The sequence below is a fragment of the Homo sapiens genome, chromosome X (assembly GCF_000001405.40).
Source record: "Homo sapiens chromosome X, GRCh38.p14 Primary Assembly".
Taxonomy (NCBI): domain Eukaryota; kingdom Metazoa; phylum Chordata; class Mammalia; order Primates; family Hominidae; genus Homo; species Homo sapiens.
The window spans coordinates 122419475-122442990 of NC_000023.11; the positions used below are offsets into that span (position 1 = coordinate 122419475).

Consider the following 23516-nt stretch of genomic DNA (forward strand, 5'->3'; position numbering starts at 1 on the left):
TGAGCTTGTCAGTTTCTCCTCATAAGTCTGCTTATTTTTTAAGGAGATAAAATTCCAAACATCAAATTAAAAACTTTAAAGTGCACAATTCAGTGGCATTTAGTACATGCACAAGGTTTTACAGTAATTACCACTATATAGCTCCAAAATATTTTCATCACTCAAAAGGAAACCCTGTACCTATTAAGCACTCTCTTCCCCCAGGTCTCTGGCAAACACTACTCTGCTGTTTGAATGTATGGGTTCACATATTCTAGATTGTTTCACATAAATGGCATCACACAATATACAACATTTTGTGTCTGGCTTCTTTCCTTTACCATGAAGTTTTGGAGGTTCATTCACGTTATAGTATATATCAACACTTCAATTGCTTTAATGGTTGAATAATATTTCTTTGTATGTATATACCACTTTTAGCATATGCATCCATCTGCATATGAACATTCGTGTTGTTTCCACCTTTGGCTATTGTGAATAATGTAGTTACAAATATTCATGTGAAAGTTTTTGCTTGAATACCTGTTTTTAATTATTTCGTATATACATCTAGGAATAGAATTTCTGGGTCATATTGTATTTCTATGTTTTCTATTTGAGGAACTGCCAAAATGATTTTCACAGTGGCAGAACCATTTTACTTTCTTATTAGCAAAGTATGAGTGTTCCAATTTCTTCACATCTTCACCAACTCTTGTTAAAATTTTTTATAATATAGCCATCCTAGTAGGTGTGAAGTGATAATTTATATTTGTGATTTTCATTTCTCTAATGTCTAATAAAGTTAGGTATCTTTTCATGTGCTTATTGGCCATTTGTGTATTAGTTTGGAGAAATGTCTATTCAAGGCTTTTACTCATTTTAAAATTAGGGTTGCTTTTCTTTTCATTCTTGAATTGTAAGACTTTGGATGTCCTGGATACTAGACTTATCTGACATATGATTTGCAAATATTTTCTCCCATTCTATAGGTCATATTTTCCACCTTTGTAATGTTTTTTGATGCACAAAAGTTAAATATTGACACAGTTTAATAAGTCTAACTTATCTGTTTTTTGTGGCTTGTGCTTTTAATGTCATATCTAAGAATCTATTTCCAGTAATAAAGAGATAGATAGATAGATAGATAGATAGATAGATATAGATAATAGAAAACATGGCAATGTTGTTAGTTGCCTTCAAGTTTATAAACTTCTAAGTTTGCTTAGAAGTTATACATTGTATAATTATTATTTCAGTTGTTAAGTTTAAACATATATTCCTATTAATTTTAGCCTATATGCTTATCAATGACTTTACTATTCTGCTTCAAACATGAAGCAGGCCATAGCACATTTTGACTACTCATTTAATAACCCACAATCCATCTTCCTACTATGACATGAACTTTTAAATTATCCTTTTAAATATGTCAAATGATACTTGTTTAGTGTAATAATTACAATTGTCAACATATTTTACCAATTTTTCTACTCACTGCTATTTCTTGGATCTCCACTCTATTTTCTAAATTTCCTATTATTTTTGTTAGAATATGTCCTTTAATATATTTTTTTTTCAGAATCTATGAGTGGTAAATTCTTCTAGCTTTGGGGATATCTTTAAAATCTCTTATTTTGACTTCATACTTGCATACTAGTTTAGCTAAGTGATTACAGTGTTTGTAAGTAATTTATTAATTTTTTTGTTAGCTTTTAAGACGTCACTTGTTTTACTGCAATACTTCTAGATATGGATTCATCTTTAATTGTTAATATAATGCTTAGTAATTGAAGGACATTTAAATTGTTGATTTTTCTATGATTCTGGGAAACTATTTACTATTTTCAAATACCACTATTCTGCCATATTTTCTATTTTATTATTTTTTCCCCAATTTTTCAGTATAAATTTGTTTCAAATATGGCAGTGATCACTAGTAAAAGCTTGTTCTTTCTTTGACATTGACTTTTACCTTTTGTTTCTTTACTATCTCTTGTAAGAGGAATTTTTGATAAGATTAAAATCAGGCACATGGAGAGGGCTATGTGTCACAATGGGCAAACACTCAGATGCTGAGTTTCCTGCATCTGTGAAACTAACACACTGTATAGTGACATACTTGCATCAATAATAATACCAGCAAAGTTATCAGGCATTCTTTCCTTTGGCGACTGTTCGTACTCTTGGAGTATCATGGATGTCGCTGGCATTGCCCCAGAAATCAGCTCCTGGCCTGTTGCTGAAGCAGTGTCCTAATAATCAGAAAGATGCTTGTGTAGCTGATGGTGTTTTCTGGACTTCACTTTACTCATGAGAGGTGTGGATATATCCTTGCAAATTCCAAAGTGCCAGGAAATCCAAAAGGGATTCGGTTGGAATCTGCTTATTACCTTATCTTGCACCCTGGCCTGGTTCCTGCTCCATGACTTGACTCTGTTGGATCTTGGCATTAACTCTGGCCAGGACCTGGTGACTGTTCCCTGTAATGACCTTCAGTTTCATTGGAAGGGGAAACTACAGATAATAGACATAGGAACCTAACAGCTCCCAGAAGCCAGACTGAGAAAGAAAAGCATAAAGGACACGCAACAGCATGATGCCTGAGGTAATTGGATTGTTGCTTTACCACCCTGGGCCTGTAACCTTTAGGAGTAAATACATAGAATAGGGATTTTATTGTACAGCATTTTGCTTGGCATATAACAGAAGAATTGAAGACATTTATTAAAGTATTTACTGAGAGTGCAAAGCACCCTAATAGTACCTAAATAACATCATTTTGTGGAAACTCTTTCATTTACATCTTACCCAAGCATTTTATCATTTACTTTGAGCAAATGTAAACATAATTAAACAAAAATAATAGCAACAAAAAATCATTTGTCATGAAATTTACATGTTTTGAATAGACCTTTAAATATGCCTAAATTTGTATTTATTCTCCATAAGTTCTTACTTTTTTTGGAATTTATTTTAAATTTGATATATATTTTAGTGAATATTTAGTGATAAATATTTTAATAAAAAAGAGATACTTTTTAACATACAAAAAATATACTCAGTTGATTTTTAAGTTATCTTATTTGCCTTCTTTAGTTGTGCAAAAATAGGCCCATCATCTTAAAACTTTGCTTGGCTTAATTCCTTAGTTATTCAATTGTCTCAACTGTTTGTGAGGTTAACAATTAGGAATGTTCAACAGAATAAGGCAAGATAATTGGGTCAATTCTACAGTTTGAGTTCCTCTTCACCCATTTGGATGCCCTTTATTTCGTTCCATTGTTTGATTGCTCTGGCTAGGACTCCCAGTACTATGTTAAATAGAAGTGGTAAAAGTGGGCATCTTTGTCTTGTTCCAGTTCTCAGGGGGAATGTTTTCAGCTTTTCCCTGTTTAGTACAATGCTGGCTGTGAGTTTGTTGCAGATGGCTTTTATTACCTTAAGGATGTGCTTTTTATGCCGATTTTGCTGAGGGTTTTAATTATAATGGGATGCTGGATTTTGTCAAATGATTTTTCTGCATCTATGGAGATGATCATGTTATTTTTGTTTTTTAATTCTGTTTGCGTGGTGTGTCACATTTATTGAATTATGTATGTTAAACTGTCATCGCATCCCTGGTATGAAGCCCACTTAATCATGGTGGATTATCTTTTTGATATGCTGTTGGATTCAGTTAATTAGTATTTTGTTGAGGATTTTTGCATCTATATTCATCAGAGATATTGGTTTGTATTCTGTTTTTGTTGTTGCTGTTATGTCCTTTCCTGGTTTTGGTATTAGGGTGAGACTGGCTTCATAGAATGATTCAGGGAGAAGTCTCTCTTTCTCTGTCTTTTGGAATAGTGTCAATAGAATTGGTACAAATTCTTCCTTGAAAATCTGATAGAATTCAACTGTGAATTCATCTGGTACTGGACTTTTCTGGTTGGCATTTTTAAAATTACTGTTTCAATCTCACTGCTTGGTATTGGTCAGTTCAGAGATTCTATATCTTCCTGGTTTAATCTAGGAGGATTGTATATTTCCAGGAATTTATCCATCTCCTCTCGGTTTTCTAGTTTATACATGTAAAGCTTTTCATAGTAGTGTTGAATAATCTTTTGTATTTCTGTGGTATCAGTTATAATATTTCCTGTTTCATTTTTAATTGAGCTTATTTGGATCTTCTTTTTTTCTTAGTTAATCTCACTAATGGTATATCAATTTTATTTATCTTTTCAAAGAACCATCTTTTCATTTTATTTATCTTTTGCATTGCTTTTTGTTTGTTTGTTTCTATTTTATTTAGCTCTGCACTGATCTTCATTATTTATTTTCTTCTTCTGGGTTTGAGTTTGGATTGTTCTTGTTTCTCCAGTTCTGTGAGGTGTGGCATTAGATTGTCTATTTGTGCTCTTTCAGACTTTTTGATGTAGGCATTTAATGCTATGAACTTTCCTCTTAGCACTGTTTCTGCTGTATCCCAGAGGTTTTAACAGGTTGTGTCACTATTATTAAGAATTTTTTAATTTCCATATTGATTGCATTGTTGACCCAATGATCACTCAGGAGCAGGTTATTTAATTTCCATGTATTTGCATCGCCTTGAGTGTTGCATTTAGAGATGATTTCCAATTTTATTCCACTGTGGTCTGAGAGAGTACTGGATCTAATTTCGATTTTCTTAAATTTACTGAGACTTGTTTTGTGGCCTATCATATAGTCTGTCTTGGAGAATCTTCCAGGTGCTGATAAAAAGAATGTATATTCTGCAGTTGTTGGGTAGAATATTCTGTAAATATCAGTTAAGTCCATTTGTTGTAGGGTATAGTTTAAGTCCATTGTTTCTTTGTTGACTTTCTATCTTGATGACTTGACTAGTGCTGTCAATGGAGTATTGAAGTCCCCCAATATTATTGTGTTGCCATCTGTCTCATTTCTTAGGCCTAGTAGTAAATTTTTTTTATAAATTTAGGAGCTCTAGTGTTAGGTGCATCTATATTTAGAATTGTGATATTTTCTTGTTGGACTAGTGCTTTTATCATTATATAATGTCCCTCTTTGTCTTTTTTAACTGTTGTTGCGTTAACATTTGTTTTGTCTGATATAAGAATAATTACCTCTGCTCTATTTTGGTGTCCATTTGCATAGATTATCTTTTTCCACCCCTTTACCTTAAGTTTATGTGAGTCCTTATATGTTATATGAGTCTCCTGAAGGCAGCAGAAACTTGGTTGATGAATTCTTATTCATTCTGCCATCCTGTATCTTTTAAGTGGAGCATTTAGGTCACTTACATTCAATGTTAGTATTGAGATGTGAGGTACTATTCTATTCATCATACCATTTGTTGCCTGAAAAGCTTGCATTTTTTTTCATTGTGTTATTGTTATATAGGTCTGGTGAGATTTGTACTTTAAGAAGTTTCTATTTTGGTATATTTTGAGAATTTGTTTCAAGATTTATAGCTCCTTTTAGCAGTTCTTCTAGTGCTGGCTTGTTAGTGGTGAATTCTCTCAGTATTTATTGTCTCAATAAGACTGTATCTTTCCTTCATTTATGAAGCTTAATTTCCCTGGATACAAAATTCTTGGCTGATAACTGTTTGTTTAAGGAGGCTAAAAATAGGACCCCAATCCCTTCTAGCTTGTAGGATTTCTGCTGAGAAATCTGCTATTAATCTGGTAGGTTTTTCTTCATAGGTTACCTGATGCTTTTGCCTCACAGCTCCTAAAATTCTTTCCTTCATCTTGACTTTAGATAACCTGATAACTATGGTCTAGGTGATGATTGTGATGAATTTCCGGGGTGTTCTTTGAGCTTCTTGTATTTGGATGTCTAGATCTCTAGCAAGGCCAGGGAAGTTTTCCTAGATTATTCCTTCAAATATGTTTTCCAAACATTTAGATTTCTCTTCTTCCTCAAGAACACCAATCATTCTTAGGTTTGGACATTTAACATAGTCCCAAACTTCCTGGAGGCTTTGATCTTTTTTTAAAAAAAAAAAATTCTTTGTTGTTTTTGTTGGATTGGGTTAATTTGAAAGCCTTGTCTTCGAGCTCAGAAATTCTGTCTTCTGCTTGTTTGATTCTATTGCTGAGAATTTCCAGTGCATTTGACATTTCTCTTAAGTGTGTTGTTGATTTCCAGAAGTTGTGACTGTTTTTTACTTATGCTCTCTATTTCACTGAAGAATTTTCTTTTCATATACTGTATCATTTTTTTAAAAATTTTTTTAAGTTGGATTTCACCTTTCTCTGGTGCCTCCTTGAGTAGCTTAATAATTGACCTTTTGAATTCTTTTTCTGGCAATCCAGAGATTTCACCTTGGTTTGGATCAATTGCTGGTGAGCTGGTATGATTTTTGGGGGGTGTTAAAGAACCTTGTTTTGTCATATTACCAGAATTGTTTTTCTGGTTTCTTCTCACTTGGGTAAGACTATGTCAGAGGGAAGGTCTGGGATTCAAGGACTACTGTTCGGATTATTTTGTCCCATGGGGTTACTCCCTTGATGTGGTGTTTTCCCCCTTCCCCTAGGAATGGGGCATCCTGAGAGCCAAACTGTAGTGACTGATTTTGCTCTTCTGGGTCTAGCCACCCAGTAGAGATAACATGCTCTAATCTGGTACTGGGAAGTGTCTGCAAAGAGTCCTGTGATGTGATTCATCTTCGGGTCTTGCAGCCGTGGATACCAGCACCTGTTCCAGTGGAAGTGACAGGGGAGTGAAGTGGACTCTGTGAGCGTCCTGTGTTGTGTTTTTGTTTAGTGCACTGGTTTTGTGTTGGTTGACCTCCAGCCAGAAGGTGGGTGCATCAGCTGCGGTCCCATAGGGAGGATGCAAACTTGCCCTAGGGACACCTGGTTAAGTATTCAGGTTTCTCAGGTGCTGGGCAAGGCCATAGAGCTCCCAAGAGATTATGGCCTTTGTCTTTGGCTACCAGAGCAGATAGAGAAAGACCACCACCAGGTGGGGGGCAAGGATAGGTATGTCTGAGCTCAGCCTCTCCTTGGGTGAGGTTTGCTGCACCTGCTGTGGGGTATGGGGGTGTGGTTCCCAGTCCCATGGAGTTGTATTCCCAGGGAGATTATGGCTGCCTCTGCTGAGTCATACAGGTTGCCAGGGAAGTGGGGGAAATGTGGCGGTTACAGCCCTCACCCCACTCCCAGACAGCCCATAGTCCCAAAGGCCAGTCTCACTCCCACCATGCCACACCAACAGCACCGAGTCTATTTCCAGTCAGCCAGTGGCCAGGGCTGAGAGCTTGCCCCAGAACATGAGCCTCTTCAATGAGAAAAAAAGCAGACTCAGTTTTTCCGTGTCTCAGCGAGCCTGCAGGGGTGACCCAGTTCCTTCAAAGGGTCTGTGGATTCTCTTCGCTTTTCTGGTATGTTCCTGCAGTAGTTCTTGGAGCAAAAGTTCATGATGTGAGTCTCCACATGCTGCTCTGTCCATGCCAGTGGGAGCTGCAAGCTACTTCTGCCTCCTATCCACCATTGTAACCTCTCCATTTTATTTATTCTGAACAAGTTTTGACACATGTTGAGATCTCTCACGCTAGCCTACATGTCTTTTAACTGAATTTTCTTATTTTCCTTTTCTGTCCCTTTATAAAAATATTTATTTATTCTGTTTGATTGGCAAGTAAAAATTGTTTCTTTGTATTGCATGTAACATGTTTTGAAATATGCATACATCTGAATGGCTAATTAACATATGTATTACCTGACATATTCATTATTTTTTTGTGGTGAGAACACTTAAAATACACTTTCTTAGTAATTATTATAAATGCTATACATAGGAGAAAAACTACACTATATTGCTGTGGGCAACAACTTTTTACATTTGACTCCAAAAGCACAGGCAACAGAAACAAAAATAGAAAAATGGGATTACATTAAAATAAAAAGCTCCTGCATGAAAAAGGAAACTATCAATGGAGTAAAATGACAACTGACAGAGTGGGATAAAATATTTGCAAGCCATTCATCTGATAAGGGGATAATACACAAAATATTTAACTAACTCAAACAAATCAATATCCAAGAAGACAAATAATCTAATTCAAAAGTGAGCAAGAGACTTAAATATACATTTCTTAAAAAATGCAAATGGCCATCGGATAGATAAAAAAAATGTTTAACATTACTAATCATTAGGAAAATGCAAATTAAAACCATAAGAAGATACTAACTCACACCTGTCAGAATGACTACTACCAAAGATGAAAGATAACTATTGAATATTGACAGGGATGTGGAGTATATGCATATACTCATATATATAATTTTTGTATGTTGATATTATATCTTTCCACTTTACTGAATTTGTTCAATACTTATAATATTTTGGTGGAATCTTTTGAGTTTTCTATGCGTGTCAGCATATCTGCACACAGGAACAACTTAACTTTTTCTTTTTCAATGTGGATACTTTTTTGTCTTTATCTTGCCTAATTGCCCTGGCTAGGACTTCTAGACCTAATATGAATAGAAGTGGTGAGAGTGGGCATCCTTGTCTTGATTCTCATCTTAGAGAAAGGCTTTCAATCTTTCACTGTTGAGTATAATGTTAGCTCTGCATTTGTCATACGTGGACTTTATTACGTTGAGGTACATTTCTTCTATACCTAATTTGTTGAGAAATTGTTTTAATCATGAAAGCAAGCAGAAGTTTGTCAAATGTTTTTTCTCCATTTATTGAGATGGTCACATGGTTTTTGTCCTCGATTGTGCTATTTTGGTGTGTCATATTTATGAATTTTTGTAGATTTGCATATGTTGAATCAAACTTGTATCCTAGGGATAAATATCACTTGATCAAGGTGAATGATCCCTATAATGTACTATTGAATTTGATTTTCTAGTATTTTGTTAAGGGTTTTTACATCTATGTTCATCACAGATATTGGTTTGTAATTTTCTTTTCTTATAGTAGTATCCTTACCTGGCTATGGTATCATGGAAATGCTGGCCTTGTAAAATGAGTTTGGGAAGATTTCCTCTTCAATTTTGTGAAGAATTTTGACAGGAATTGATATTAGTTCTTCTTTAAATGTTTGGTAACATTCAGTAGTAAAGTCATCAGGTCCAAGGCATTCTTTTTTTGATGAGAGAAGTTTTATTACTGATTTAATGTCCTTATTACTAGTCTCCTCAAATTTTTTTTATCTCATAATTCAGTCTTGGTAGGTTGTATGTGTTTAGTAATTTCTTCACTTATTTTAGGTTATCTAATTTGTTGGCATGTAATTGATGGTTGTAGCATCTTATGAGCCTTTGTATTTCTATGGTATTAGTTATAATGTCTCTTCTTTCACTTCTGATTTTATTTGAGTCTTCTCTTTTTTTCTCCTTAGTCTGAACATTTGTGGATTTTTGTTTTTCCTTTTACTAAATGAACACTTCGTTTCACTGCTTTTTCTATTGTTTTTCTATTCTCTATTTCACTTATTTCTGTTCTGATTTTTTTTAAACTTTTATTTTAAGTTCGGGGTATACGTGCAGGATGTGCTGGTTTGTAACATAGGTAAACATGTGTCATGGGGGTTTGCTGTACAGATTATTTCATCACCCAGGTATTAAGCCTAGTATCCATTAGTTACTTTTTGTAATCTTCACCTTCCTTTCACCTTCCACCATTCGATAGGCCCCAGTGTCTGTTGTTCTATTCTATGTGTCCATGTGTTCTCATTATTTAGCTTCCACTTATAAGTGAGACCATGTGGTGTTTGGTTTTCTGTTCCTGGGTTAGTTAGCTAAAGATAATGGCTTCCAGCTTCATCCATGTTCCTGAAGATGACATGATCTCATTCTTTTTTATGGCTTTATAGTATTCCATGGTGTATATGTACCACCTTTTCTTTATCCAGTCTTTCATTGATGGGCATTTAGGTTGATTCCACGTTTTTGCTATTGTGAATAGTGCTGCAATGAACATACATGTGCATGTGTCTTTACGATAGAATGATTTATATTCCTTTATGTGTATACCTGGAACCGACCCAACTGCCCTATAGGCTGTTCTTTTTGATACAGGCCTCTCATGAAAAGTATCAAAGAATCAAACCAGATTACTGCACCAGATGCCAGACCCTTCATCCACCATGATTGCTTCCTTGCCCCTCCCAAGTTTCTGTTTTGCTTACACATTGTTACATTTCTTACCTGCTATGTAAACCCCTGGTTGGATTTGAGACTGAGCTCCCATCTCCTCAGCTGCAGCACCTGATTAAAGCCTTCTTCCTAGGCAATACTTGGCTTTTCAGTGATTGCAGAAATGAGACTGAACCCCTGGTGTTTTGGTAACATACTCAGTAATGGAATTGCTAGGTCAAATGGTATTTCAGGTTCAGGTCTTTGACAGACTGTCACACTGCCTTCCACGATGGTTGAACTAATTTACATTCCCACAACAGTGTATAAGCATTCTTTTTCTGCACAACCTCACTAGCATCGGTTATTTTTTGACTTTTTAATAATCACCATTCTGACTGGTGTGAGACGGTATCTCATTGTGGTTTTGATATGCATTTCCCTAATAATCGGTGATGTTGAGATTTTCTTCATATGCTTGTTGGCCACATGTATGTCTTCTTTTGAGATGTGTCTGTTCATGTCCTTGCCCACTTTTTAATGGCTTTTTTTTTCTTGTAAATTTGTTTAAGTTCCCTATAGTTGCTTGATATTAGACCTTTGTCAGATGCATAGTTTGCTAAAATTTTCTCCCATTCTGTAGGCTGTTTACTCTGTTGATAGTTTCTTTTGCTGTGCATGAGGTTTTTAGTTTAATTAAATTCCTTTCGTCAGCTTTTGCTTTTGTTGTAATTGCTTTTGGCATCTTCATCATGAAATCCTCACACATGCCTATGTCCTGAATAGTATTGCCTAGGTTGTCTTCCATGGTTTTTATGGTTTTGTATTTTACATTTAATCCATCTTGAGTTAATTTTTGTACATGGTGTAAGGGAGGGGTCCAATTTCAATTTTCTGCACATGGCGAGCCAGTTATCCCAGCTCCATTTATTGAATAGCGAGTCCTTTCTCCATTGCTTGTTTCTTTCAGGTTTGTCAAAGATCAGACAGTTGTAGGTGTGCAAACTTATTTCCTGGTTCTCTATTCTGTTCCATTGGTCTATGTGTCCGTACTTAGGCCCACACCATACTGTTTAGGTTACTGTTGGTTACTGTAGCCCTGTAGCATAGTTTGAAGTTAGGTAGCACGATGCCTTTTTATTTTCTTTCTTCTACTAACATTGGGCTTAGTTTGTTTTTGATTTTCTAGTTTCTTGAGTTAAAACATTACATTATTTGAGAAGTTTCTTCTTTTGTGATGTAGGCATTTATTTTTATAAACTTTTATTTTACGACTACTTTTGCTACATCCCATATGTTTGGGTAGGTTAAGTTTTCATTTTGATTTGTATAAAATATTTTTGAATTTCTCTTTGATTCTTCTTTGATCCATTGGTTGTTCAGGATTATGCTGTTTCATTTCCATGTATTTGTTAATTTTCTAAAATACTTTTTCATTGATTTCTATTTCCACACCACTGTGGTTAGAAAATATACTTGATACAATTTCAAACTTCTTCAATTTGTTAAGACTTGCTTTGTGGTCTAACATGATCTATCCTGGAGAATCTTCTGTGTGTGCTTGAGAAAAATGATTCTTCGGTTGTTGTTGGATGGAATCCTCTATATATGTCTGTTAGGTCCATTTGGTCTAAAATTTAGTTTAAATCAGATATCTCCTTATTGGCTTTCTCTCTGGATGATCTGTCCATTGCTGAAAGTGGGATATTGAAGTCACCTACTATTATTGTATGACAGTCTATCAATCCCTTCAGATCTATTAATATTTGCTTTATATATTTAGGCACTCCAATATTGGATGCACATTTATTTACAATTGTTACAGTCTCTTGATGAATTCACCCCTAAATTACCATGTAATGACCTTGTTTTAAAAAAGTTTTTAAAAAGTTTAAAACACGGTAATTATATGGTAATACAGGGGTGAATTCATCAAGAAAATATAACTATTTCTTTTAAATTTTTTGACTTAGAGTCCATTTTGTCTTATATAAGTATAGTATTTCTGTCTCTTTTAGTTCTCATTTGCTGGGCATATCTCTTTTCATCTTTTCACTTTCAGTCTATTTCTGTCCTCAAAAAGTGAAGTCAGTTTATTGTAGGCAGTATATAATCTGCTCTTTTTTTTTTTTTGGCCATTGAGACACTCTGTAACTTTTAATTGGAAATATTAATCCACTTATATTAAGGTAATTACTGATAGGCAAGGACAGATTAGTGCCCTTTTTAAATTGTTTTGTAGATATCTATTCCTTTCATTCCTCTCTTGATGTCTTCCTTTTTGATTAGATGGTTTTCTCTAATGGTATGCTTTCATTTCCTACTTTTAATATTTTCTGTATCTACGTATATTTTTGCTTTGTGGTTACCACGATGCTTACATTCAGCATCTTATACTTATAATGGGCTATTTTAAGCTGATAAGCTCTCAGCTCTGATAACATAAAAGAAAATACTTTGGCTTCATCTTACCCACATTTTATATTTTTTAAAATAATTTACACCTTCCCGTATTGTGTTTTCCTTAAAATTATTGCACATGTTATTCTTATAATAGTTTTGTCTTTCAACCTTCAAACTAAAGATACAAATGATTTACACAACACCATCATGGTATTAAAGTATTCTCAAATTAACTTTTGCCAGCGAGTTTCTTACTTTAATGTGGTTTCATGTTGCTAATTAGCGCTCTTTTATTTCAGCTTTCAGAACTCCCTTTGGTACTTCTTATAAGACAGGTCAGCTGGCAATGAATTTCCTCAGCCTTTTTTTGTCTGGGAAAGACTTGATTTTTCCTTCATTTCTGAAGGACGGGTTTTTCAGTTAAAGTATTCTTGGTTGTAATTTTTTTCTTCAGCAGTTTGAATATATCTTCGTACAGTCTCCTAGCCTATAAGTTCCAGTTGAGAAGTCTGATGCTAGTCTTGTTGAAACTCCCTCATATATGGTTTGCTTTTTTCTTGCTGCTTTCAAGATTCTCTGTTTGCATTATATATTTAACAGTTTAATTATAATATCTACTGATACACTAGTTTAGATTGACTCTAATGATGACTTTTGACCTTTTTATACCTGGATATTTATATCTTTCACCAAATTTGTTTTTTTCTATTATGTCTTAAAGAATCTGTCTGGCCCTTTGTTTCACTCTACTTCTTGAATTTGTATAATTCAAATATTTGTTATTTTGCTGCTGCCCCAAATGTTCCTGATGGTTTCTTCATTTCCTTTTATTATTTATTTCTTCTGTGGTCGTGTATTTTTGAATAACCATTTTTAGTTCACACATTCTTTCTTCTAACTGAGCAATTCTGCTACTGATGATGTCTATTGCATTTTTTTAATTTATTGTACTACTTACTCCAGAATATCTGTTTCGTTGTTTTAAATTCCAATCTATTAAATTTATCAGTTTGGTCATTTATTGTCTGGCAGGCGTTATTGAATTGTTTTTTCTGTATTTGTTTAAAATTCAAGAATTAAAATAATTATTCTGAATTATTAGGTAATTCAAAAGTCTCCATTTTGGAGGGTTTGGTTACCCTATTAGTCCCTTTTCACACTGCTATAAAGATACTACCCAAGACTGGGTAATTTATAAAGGAAAGAGGTTTAATTGACTCACAGCTCCACATGGCTAGGGAGGCCTCAGGAAACTTACAATCATGGCAGAAGAGGAAGCAGTCACCTTCTTCACAAGGCAGCAGAAGAGAGAGTGAGTGCAAGCAGGAGAAATGTCAGATGCTTATAAAACTGTCAGATCTCGTAATATTCACTCATTATCACAAGAAAAGCATGGGGGAAACTGCCCCCATGTTTCAATTACCTCCACCTGGTCCCACCCTTGACATGTGGGGATTATTACAATTTAAGGTGAGATTTTGGTGGGGGCACAGAGCCAAATGATATCAGTTACTGGTGTATTTTTTTATTTGTATAAATTTCTGGGGAACAAATACAATTTTCTCACATTAATCGATTGTGTGGTAGTCAGGTCAGGGCTTGTAGAGTATTTATTACCTGAATAACATACATTGTGCCCATTAAGTAATTTCTCTTCATACATCCCCCTTACCCCCTCATCCTTCTGACACTCATATGTTTATCATTATGCTCTCTATGTTTATGTGTACACATTTTTAAAATCTCACTTATGAATAGGAACAAGTAATTTTTTTTTCTGTGTCTGACTTATTTCACTTAAGACAATGGTCTCCATTTCTGTTGATGTTGCTGCAGAAGACATGATTTCATTTTACTATGACTGAATAGTATTCCATTGTGTATCTAGACCACATTTCTTTATCCAATAATCTGTTTGTGGTCACTTAGGTTTTTTCCATATCTTCGCTATTATAAATAGTGCTGTGATAAGCATACCAGTTCAGGTGTCTGTTTGGTGCATAGATTTCTTTTCTTTGGGTAGATACTCAGTAGTGAAATTGCTGGATCAAATGATGGTTCTATTTTTAGTTATTTGAGAAATCTCTATACTGTTTGCTGTAGGGGTTGAACTAATCTACATTTCCAGAGACAGTGTATACACATTCCCTTTTCTCTGCATCCTTGCTAACATCTGTTGTTTTTTAAATTTTTTTTTTTTTTTTTTTTTTTTTGAGACGGGGTTTTGCTCTTGTTGCCCAGGCTGGAGTGCAATGGTGTGATCTCGGCTCACTGCAACCTCCGCCTCCCTGTTTCAAGCAATTCTCCTGCCTCAGCCTCCTGAGTAGCTGGGATTACAGGCATGCGCCACCATGCCCGGCTAATTTTGTATTTTTAGTAGAGACAAGGTTGCTCCATGTTGGTCAGGCTAGTCCCGAACTCCTGACCTCAGGTGATCCGCCTGCCTCAGCCTCCCAAAGTGCTGGGATTACAGGCATGAGCCACCGTGCCCGGCCCTTGAATTTCTAATAGCCATTCTGACTGATGTAAGATGGTATCTCAATGTGGGTTTAATTTGCGTTTCTCTGATGATTAGTAATGTTGAGCATTTTCTTACATGTCTTTTGGCTATTTGCATGTCTTCTTCTGAAAAAATATCTATTTAGGTCCTTTATCAAATTTTTAATAGAATTATTTGGTTTGTTACTGTTGTTGAATTGTTCGAATTCCTTGTGTATTTTGAATATTAGTCCTCTGTCAGATTGCAAATATTTTCTCCCTTTCTGCAGGTTATCTGCTCACACTGCTGATTATTTTGCTGTGCAGAAAATGTTTGATTATCTATTTTTCTGTGCAGAAGCTATCTAGTTTAATCAAGTCCTGTTTGTCTATTTTTGTTTTTATTATCTGTGCTTTTGAGGTATAGTCATGAATTCTTTGCCATGGCAAAGAAGAGTTTTCCATAAGTTTCCTTCTAGTATTTTTGTACTAATTGATCTTCCACTTAAGTCTCTAATCCATCTTGTGTTGATTTTTGTATATGGTGAACGTAGAGGTCCAGTTTTATTTAACCCAATTTTCCCAGATCTGTTTTTTAAAATGGGTGTCCTTTTCCCAGTGTATGTTCTTATTGCTTTTGTCAAAGATAAGTTGGCTATAAATACGTGACTTTATTTCTGGGTTCTCTATTCTGTTCCATTGATTTATGTGTCTATTTTTATACCAGTACCATAGTGCTGGGTTACTATGTTCTTGTAATATAATTTGAGATTAGATAATGTGATGCCTCAAGTTTTGTTATTTTTGCTTAGGGTTGTTGCAGCTATTCAGGTGTCTATTTGGTTCCATATAAAGTTTAAGATTGTTTGCTGTAATTCTGTGAAAAATGATATTGGTATTTTGATAGGGATTGGATTGAATATGTAGATTGCTTTGGGCACTATTGTATTTTATGACAAGATTAAGTTTTATAAATAAATATCATTTTAACTATTTTAATTCTTCCAATCTCTGAGCATAGAATGTTTTTCCACTTGCTTTTGTCATCTACAATTTCTTTCTTCAGTGTTTTGTACTTTTCATTGTTGACATCTTTCACTTCTTTGGTTAAATATATTCCTATGTATTTTATTTTTAGTAGGTATTATATATATGAGTGCCTGGTTGATTTTCTTTCCAACTGGGTTGTTTTGAAATATAGAAGCACTACTTATTTTTGTACATTCACTTTTATTCTGCAAGTTTATTGAATTCATTTATCAAATTTAAGAGATTTTTGCTAGAGTGTTTAGGGTTTTATACATACAAGATCATATCATCAGACAATAGGAGTAGCTTGACTTTGTTCAAATTTGAATTCCTTTTAATTCTTTCTCTTGCCTTATTTTTTCTGTCTAGGACTTTCAATACAGTGTTGAAAGTGGGCACCTGTGTCATGTTCCAGCTCTTAGAAAAAATGTTTTTAACTTTTGTACTTTCTGTGTGATGTGGGCTGTTGCTTTCTCATATATGGCCTTTACTGTTTTGAGGTATGTTCCTTCTATATCTAGTTTTTTGAAGGCTTTTGTGATAAAGAGATGTTGATTTTTTTCTACATTAGTTGAGATGACCATATGGTTTTTGTCCTTAATTCTGTTTATATAATGAATCACGTTTATTGCTTTGTGTATGTTGAGCCATCTTACATCCTGGTATAAAATGCACTTGATAGAAATGCTATCTTTTTTATTTGCTCTTGGATTCAATTTGCTAGTATTTTGTTCAGGATTTTTGGGCCCATGTTTATTAGGGGTATTGGTCTGTAGTTTCCTTTTTCTGTTTTGTTTTGTCCTTGTCTGCTTTGGGTTTCAGGGTAATGATGGCCTCATAGAACGAATTATCACTCCTCTTCAATTTTTTGGAACAGTTTGGAAAAAGTGGTACCAGTTCTTCTTTTAACATTTGGTAGAATTTGGCTATGATTCCATCTGGTCCTGATATTTTTCTTGTTGGGAGAATTTTTACTACTGATTCAATCTTGGGAGGCTGTGTATTTCCAATAGTGTATCTACTTCCTGTAGGCTTGCTAATTTTAAGCATATAGTTGTTCACATTAGTCTCTGATGATCTTTTTGTATTTCTGTGATATCAGTTGTACTTTCTTATTTTTCTTTTTGATGTTGTTTATTTGGATCTTCTACTTTCTTGCTTAGTTTAGCTAGTAGTTTATCCATTTTGTTTATCGTTTGAGCAAACTTCTCATTTCTTTCATCATTTGTATTGCTTTCCTTTTCTCTATTTCACCCTAGTTCTATTTTGATCTTTGTTATTTCTTTCCTTTTGCTGATTATGGGTTTGGTTTGTTCGTGCTTTTTTAGTTTGTTAATGTGCATAATTCTGTTTTTCATTTGTAATCTGGTTGATCATTTGTAACCTTTCTACTTTTTTTGTTGTAGGCATTTAATGCTATAAACTTTCCTGCTAGCTCTGATTTAGCTATATCTTTTAAGTTTTGGTATGTTGTGTTTACATTTTCATTTCTTTCAAAAATATGTCCAAAATTTATTTTAATTTCTTCATTGCCTAATAATCATTCAGAATAGTGATGCTTAGCTTCCATGAAGTTTCTCTTGTTATTAATTTTTTGTTTTGTTCCAATCTGGACTGATAAGATACTTGATATCATTATTTTTGAAAATTTGTTGATGCTTGTTTTATGTCCTAACATATGTCTTATCTTGGAGAGTGTTCCTCGAGATAATAAAAAGAATGTATAGTCTTCAGATTTGAGGTTATATTAGTCAAGGTTCTCTAGAGGAATAGAACTAATGGGATAGATATATACACGAAGGGGAGTTTATTAGGAGAATTGACTCACACATTCACAAGGTGAAGTCCCACAATAGGCCATCTGCAAGCTGAGGAGAAAGGAAGCCAGTCCGAGTCCCAAAACTTCAAAAATAGGGAAGCTGAAAGTACAGCCTTCAGGTCATGGCCAAAGGTCCAAAAGGCCCTGTCAAATCACTGGTGTAAGTCCAAGAGTCCAAAAGCTGGAGAACTTGGAGTCTGATGTTCAAGGGCAAGACGCATCCAGCATGGGAGAAAGATGGAGGCCAGAAGACTTAGGAAGTCAGTTTTTCCACGTTCTTCTGCCTGCTTTTATTCTGGCCATGCTGACAGCTGATTAGACTGTACCCACCCACATTGAGGGTGGGTCTGTGTTCCCAGTCCCCTGACTCAAATGTCAATCTCGTTTGGCAACACCCTCACAGATGTACCCAGGAACAATACTTTGTATCCTTCAATCCAATCAAGTTGGCACTCAGTATTAACCATCACAGGGGTAGAATGCACTGTAAATGTCTGCTAGGTTCATGTGTTCTCTAATTTAAGACGAATGCTTCTGTGTTGATTTTCTGTCTTGATAATCTGTCTAATGCTTTAAGTGGGATGTTGAAGTTCCTCACCGTTGTTGTATTGCTATATATTTATCTCTTTATTTCTAGTAATGTTTTATAAATCTGGGTGCATTGAGGAGTTTTTATCTATTATTTTATTATTAAGATTTCTAAGCTTTTTTAACCTCACCCCCCGGAATATCAATAATTAATATATTCAGTTGCTTTATGTAGTCCCACATGTCTTGAAGGCTTTATTATTATTTGTTTTCCTTTATTTTTGTCTGACTGGATTTTTTCAAAAGGACTACTTTCAATTTCTGAAATTATTTATTCTGCTTGGTCTAGTCTATTGATGAAGCTCTCAAATGCATTTTGTATTTCCTTCAATGAAATTTTCAGTTCCAGAATTTATGTTTGTTTTTTAATACATGTATCTGCTTGATAAATTTCTTATTCATATTCTAAATTGACTTTCTGAGTTCTTTGTACTGTTTTATAGTTTTTCTTGCATCTCATTGAGTTTCTTTAAAATCAATATTTTAAATTATTTATCTTGGATTATTTAAAACAAATTATTTTAATTATTGTGGGTACATAGTCAGTGTATATATTTATGGAGTACATGAGATGTTTTGATACAGGCACTCAATGTATAATAATCACATCATAAAAAGTGGGGTATCCAGCCCCTCAAGCATTTATCCTTTGTGTTACAGACAATACTATCTTGTATTTTGAGGGCTTCTTTTTCATTAGCGTCTACTGCTGTAGAATTACTGTATTCCTTTTGGGGTATCATATTATTTTGTTTTTCATTCCTCCTGTGTTTTTGATATCTGCACATCTGTTGTCATAGTTGCTTCTTTTATTTTTGAATTTACCTTTGTTCATAAGGGTAACATCTCTTTTGAAGATGTGAGTATGATATTTGTTGGGTATGGACTTTTGGCTTTGTTTCTAGGTGTGTGCAGTGATAAAGTCTCTGTAGGATTTCTTTGGCCTCAGTTTATTAGGGTGTGGCTATTGGTGGAGACTGGTGAAATTGTGCTGGGGACTGGACTGAAAGATGGGGCCTTCTGCAGGTTCCAAAGGTGGTGCTGGTGGGCTTTGTAGTCTATTCTTGTGACTTGGGGCAGTGTATGGTGAGACCTTTGTTGATGGTTCCAGGCAGGCCAATTCTTGGGCATCTGAGTGACTTTCTAAGATGCTGGTTGTAGAAGCAGTATACCAAGTGGGTGAGCAGGCTCTCATGCTCCTGGGAAGGCAGGCTGGCATAGTTGATGGTCGTAGCAGTGGTGGTTATATACTTTTCTGCTTCCCAAGTGCTGTACTCTTGTGTCGTCAGTGGTGACAGTGGTTGCAGTGGGCAGACCTCCAGGCCAGTAGGTGGCCCTTGCAGGTATGAGCCACCCAAGGTGATAGCAATAGGATGTAAATTCCTGACCTCTGTCTACCAGGAGACATGCTCAGATATCCCAGTTGGTAGATTGTGTTGTGGAACCCCACACTCTGTTTTAGGGAGAAGCAAAGCTGGGTGGATCCAAACTGGACAAGCTTGCACTCAGGTCCGCCAGTAGCAAATGCATGCACCAGCTGTGATGGAGGAGGCAGCAGGGAGGTATTCAGGCCTCAGGTGAAATGCTTGGGTGAGTTTTTACCACTGCTGCACTGAGGTCCTGCTACAGGCAGCATGTGGGCAGTCCCAGTGGCAACAGTTTTGGCCAGCGGTTGGAGGACTGTGTCCCTCTTCCACCCCGGTCCTTGTGGGGCTCCTTCACCTGTCCCAGCTGTCACAGTTGAGTTTGCTGTTTAGTCAGACCAGACAGTTTGCTTCTAGTCCATGTCTCATCCCTGTGCTATAGGAGCCCCCACCCAGCTCAAGCCCAGGCTCTGTGACACCTCTCATCCTGCTCAGTTCATGGGGATATGCTAGCAGCTGGGGTGCATGCCATGTTTGCTTCTTAGTCCTGGTTGTGAGATTCCATCCTCCACTCAAGCCCAGGCTTCATAAGCTGGTGCTCAAGTTTTTCTAATGCCTGGAATAGCACCACTGGTTCCCTGGACCATACAGAGTTTGTTAACAGCTAGGATCAAGAAAAATGTCTTACTGTAGCTGCTTAGGTTTCAGGGCATGAGCCAGCCACTCACTAAGTTAGATTCAGGGTTGAAAGAGTCAAGTTGCATTCTGGTGGCTGGATTTTACAATTCCCCAGGGGAAAAGTGGACTGCAGAAAGACACTCACTCACCCTCTCTCATAGTGGGGATTCACTCTCAGTTCCTGGTCTATCATGGTCATATAAGCTGCCTGTTTTTTTTTTTCCCCTTCTTTCTCAATTTTGGAGATTCCTTTGGCTTTTCTGTTGAATTCCTATGTTCCCTCTTGGATAATATATTCAAAGTGTGATTGCCTACCAACCATTTTCATTTTTCTAAAAGGATGAGGCATGCTAGAAATGCTTCTAGGCAGCCATCTTGGGAAAATTTTTAAAAAATTGCTGTTTTACTTTGTTTCTTTTGTTGTGTAGTGCTTCCCTGATTGGTGCTAATCTTTGTGGCTGTGTGCTGGTGTCTGTGGATTTGAAGAAGTCCCTATTCTATCTTTGCAGACTGGCTTTGCATGGGAAAGCCCTTAATTAGTCAGACTGTCTGGAAATTCTGGGGCTGCCATCTGGCCTGGTCCATGGATGGGCTTGCTGCTGGAGTTCAGGCAGGTTGACCTGGTGCCTAGGGCAGCAGCTTGGTGGGCCTGGTGCGTATTCCACAGGATTGGGTCTGGAGCCTGGATCCACTGTGGTGGTACTGGTTTGCAGGGGAGGGCCTGAAGCCTGTATTCATGAGGGCTGTCTTTAAACCTGTCAGGCATGGGCTGACCTGGCACTTGAGTAGGCCTTAAACCTGAGTCTGCAAGGATCAGCCGGGCATTGAGATTGACCTGGAGCCTGAGTCCATGGGGCCTGGCCTGGCATGGTACTGTGGTATGCTGGAGACTGAGTCCATGAATGTGAGCCTAGTTCCTTGGTCTGTGGGGAAAAAGACTAACCTAAAACCTGGGTCTTCCTGGGTATACCTGGATCCTAAGTGCTTGGGACAAGACTGGCTCCAGGGTCTATTGAAGTTGGCCTGGACTTTTGGTTTGCTGAAGCAGGCCCACTGGCACCTGGGGCCATGGGGATCAACCTGAAGCCTCTGGCTGGCCTGGTGCTGAGGCAGGTGTAAAGCCTGGGTCTGCAGTACTGGTATGGAGCTTGAAGTTACTGCTGCTGGTTGGCCTGATGCCCAGAGCCATGGGGGCTGGCCTGGGGCCCTGGGGCCATTGGGATAAGCCTAGAAGCTTGTTGTGTGGGTGCTGGTCTGAAGGCTAGGTACACAAGGGCTACCCTGGGTCCTAGGGCTATGGGAACAGACCTGGAACATGAGTCTACATGGGCAGTCCTGCATCCTGTGTCCATAGGGGCTGAACCAGCACTGGAGTCTACTGAGATGGGCCTAGCTCCAGAGTCTGCTGGAGGTTGGAGCTATAGGGGCCAGCCTCAAGAGTGGTGCTGCAGGGTCTCACATGACACTGGGCAGGCCTGGAGTCTGTGTGCATGAGTGTCAGCCTCATGCTTGAGGTCAGTGATGCCAACCTGGTGCTGGGGTAGACATGAAGTCTGGGGCTGTGAGTTAATATAACTCTGGACTGGTCTGGAACCTGGGTTGGTCTTGGAGTCTGGGGCTACAGGGCTTGTCCTGGTGCTAGGTGGGCCTGGAGTCTGTATCGGCAGAGGCTGGCCTGAAGGCTGAGTCTCCAGGTTCTGCTAGGGCTGAGTGGGTGGGACTAGTGTGGAGTGGGCCTGAAGTCTGGGGCCATGGAAGCCAGCCTGGTGCTGGGGACAATCTGGAGCCTGGGGTTTTGTCTGGCAGTATGTCAGGCCCTAAGACCAAGTCTGCCAGGCATGTGTGAAGCTCAGGGCTGTGGGATCTGGCCTGGCACCAGGGTAAGCATAGAGGCTCAGTCTACAATTACAGCCTGAAGTATTGGGCCTTGGGTTTGGGGTCTGCCAAGTGCTGAGTTTTACTGGCGCAGGCCCAGTGCTGGGATCTGAGGCAAAGTCCATTGTTCACTTGCATCTTCTTCCTTCACACAGAGGGTATATCTCTCTAGAATATGTTATCCAGGATTTAGGGGAAGTATGATGCAGACAATGTAAAACCGTCTCTCCTACCCTCTTCAATGCACTTTTTCTTATTTTTGTGCTACACCCAGGTGCTGTAATCTCTTGTGTTTATGTTTTCTGAATACCTATTATAGTTTCATTTCCACTCGTTTTGATTTTCAATTACTTTTTCTTTTTTAACTACTATAGCTATATTTATCTCTTCAAGAATGCAACTAATACATTCCATTATTTTGTCTTACTATTTAATGAAATGAGTTTTATCTGGAATAAATTTGTGTTCTAATTATTGGCTGACACTTCTAATATTATTTCATATGATTTATAATTTTTGTTTACACATTCATTTTGTGTGTGAGGTTTTATGTTTATGTTTTTTCCCTTTCTAGATCTACTTTACTCTTTCTAAACATTCCTTCCTTTCCAGTCATTTTTGTGTTTGCCTCTGCATGGCTCAGACCTTCAGTGCAAAACCATGTCTTGTAATCATTGTTAATATTTCCATTCTTGTAGTGATATTAAATTCCATAAATGAACCAGTGAAGAGTGTGATTTACTTTCTGGAACTTTACACATTCCCTATACCCATAGCTTCTAATCAAACATCTATCATGTCAAAAAGAAGTTTCTCAGCATCTTTGCATCTGTGAGGGTCCCTACTTTGTCTCCTGGCTTCAGGTATGACTGGCTCTAATATCCATATCTCAGATGCAGGACAGTATTTTTTCATTTCCCTGCAGAAACCCATCTGTTATAGGTCTGTGTATTTAGCCCGATTCTACATTATATTTCCATTCAATTTTTTTGTCATAAGGATGCTTATTTTACTTTCAGTCATAATTATGCTTTTTTAATTTTAAAAATTGTGTTATCCATGTATGTGAGACTTTTGTGTTGCTCAAAGCAATAAATATTGTTGTCTTCACCTTTTTCAATGCCTCAGCAGCTTTCATTAGATTTTGTTATTCCTCCTTTCATACAATACTTACCTCAGTTTTTACCACATACATGCCTGATTTTCTTCTCTCTCACTAGC

The 23516-nt window shown here is 36.8% G+C and overlaps 1 long non-coding RNA gene across 2 annotated transcripts in view; it reads left to right on the top strand.

The window, feature by feature from the left end:
• Positions 1–2531: 2531 nt before the first annotated feature.
• The window catches only part of LOC101928359 (uncharacterized), a 56076-nt gene continuing 35091 nt past the window's right edge, over positions 2532–23516 (top strand). For both annotated transcript variants that reach the window (XR_001755950.2, XR_001755951.2), the window contains exon 1: positions 2532–2587. This is a non-coding gene — a long non-coding RNA (uncharacterized LOC101928359). The remainder of the gene's footprint in view (positions 2588–23516) is intronic.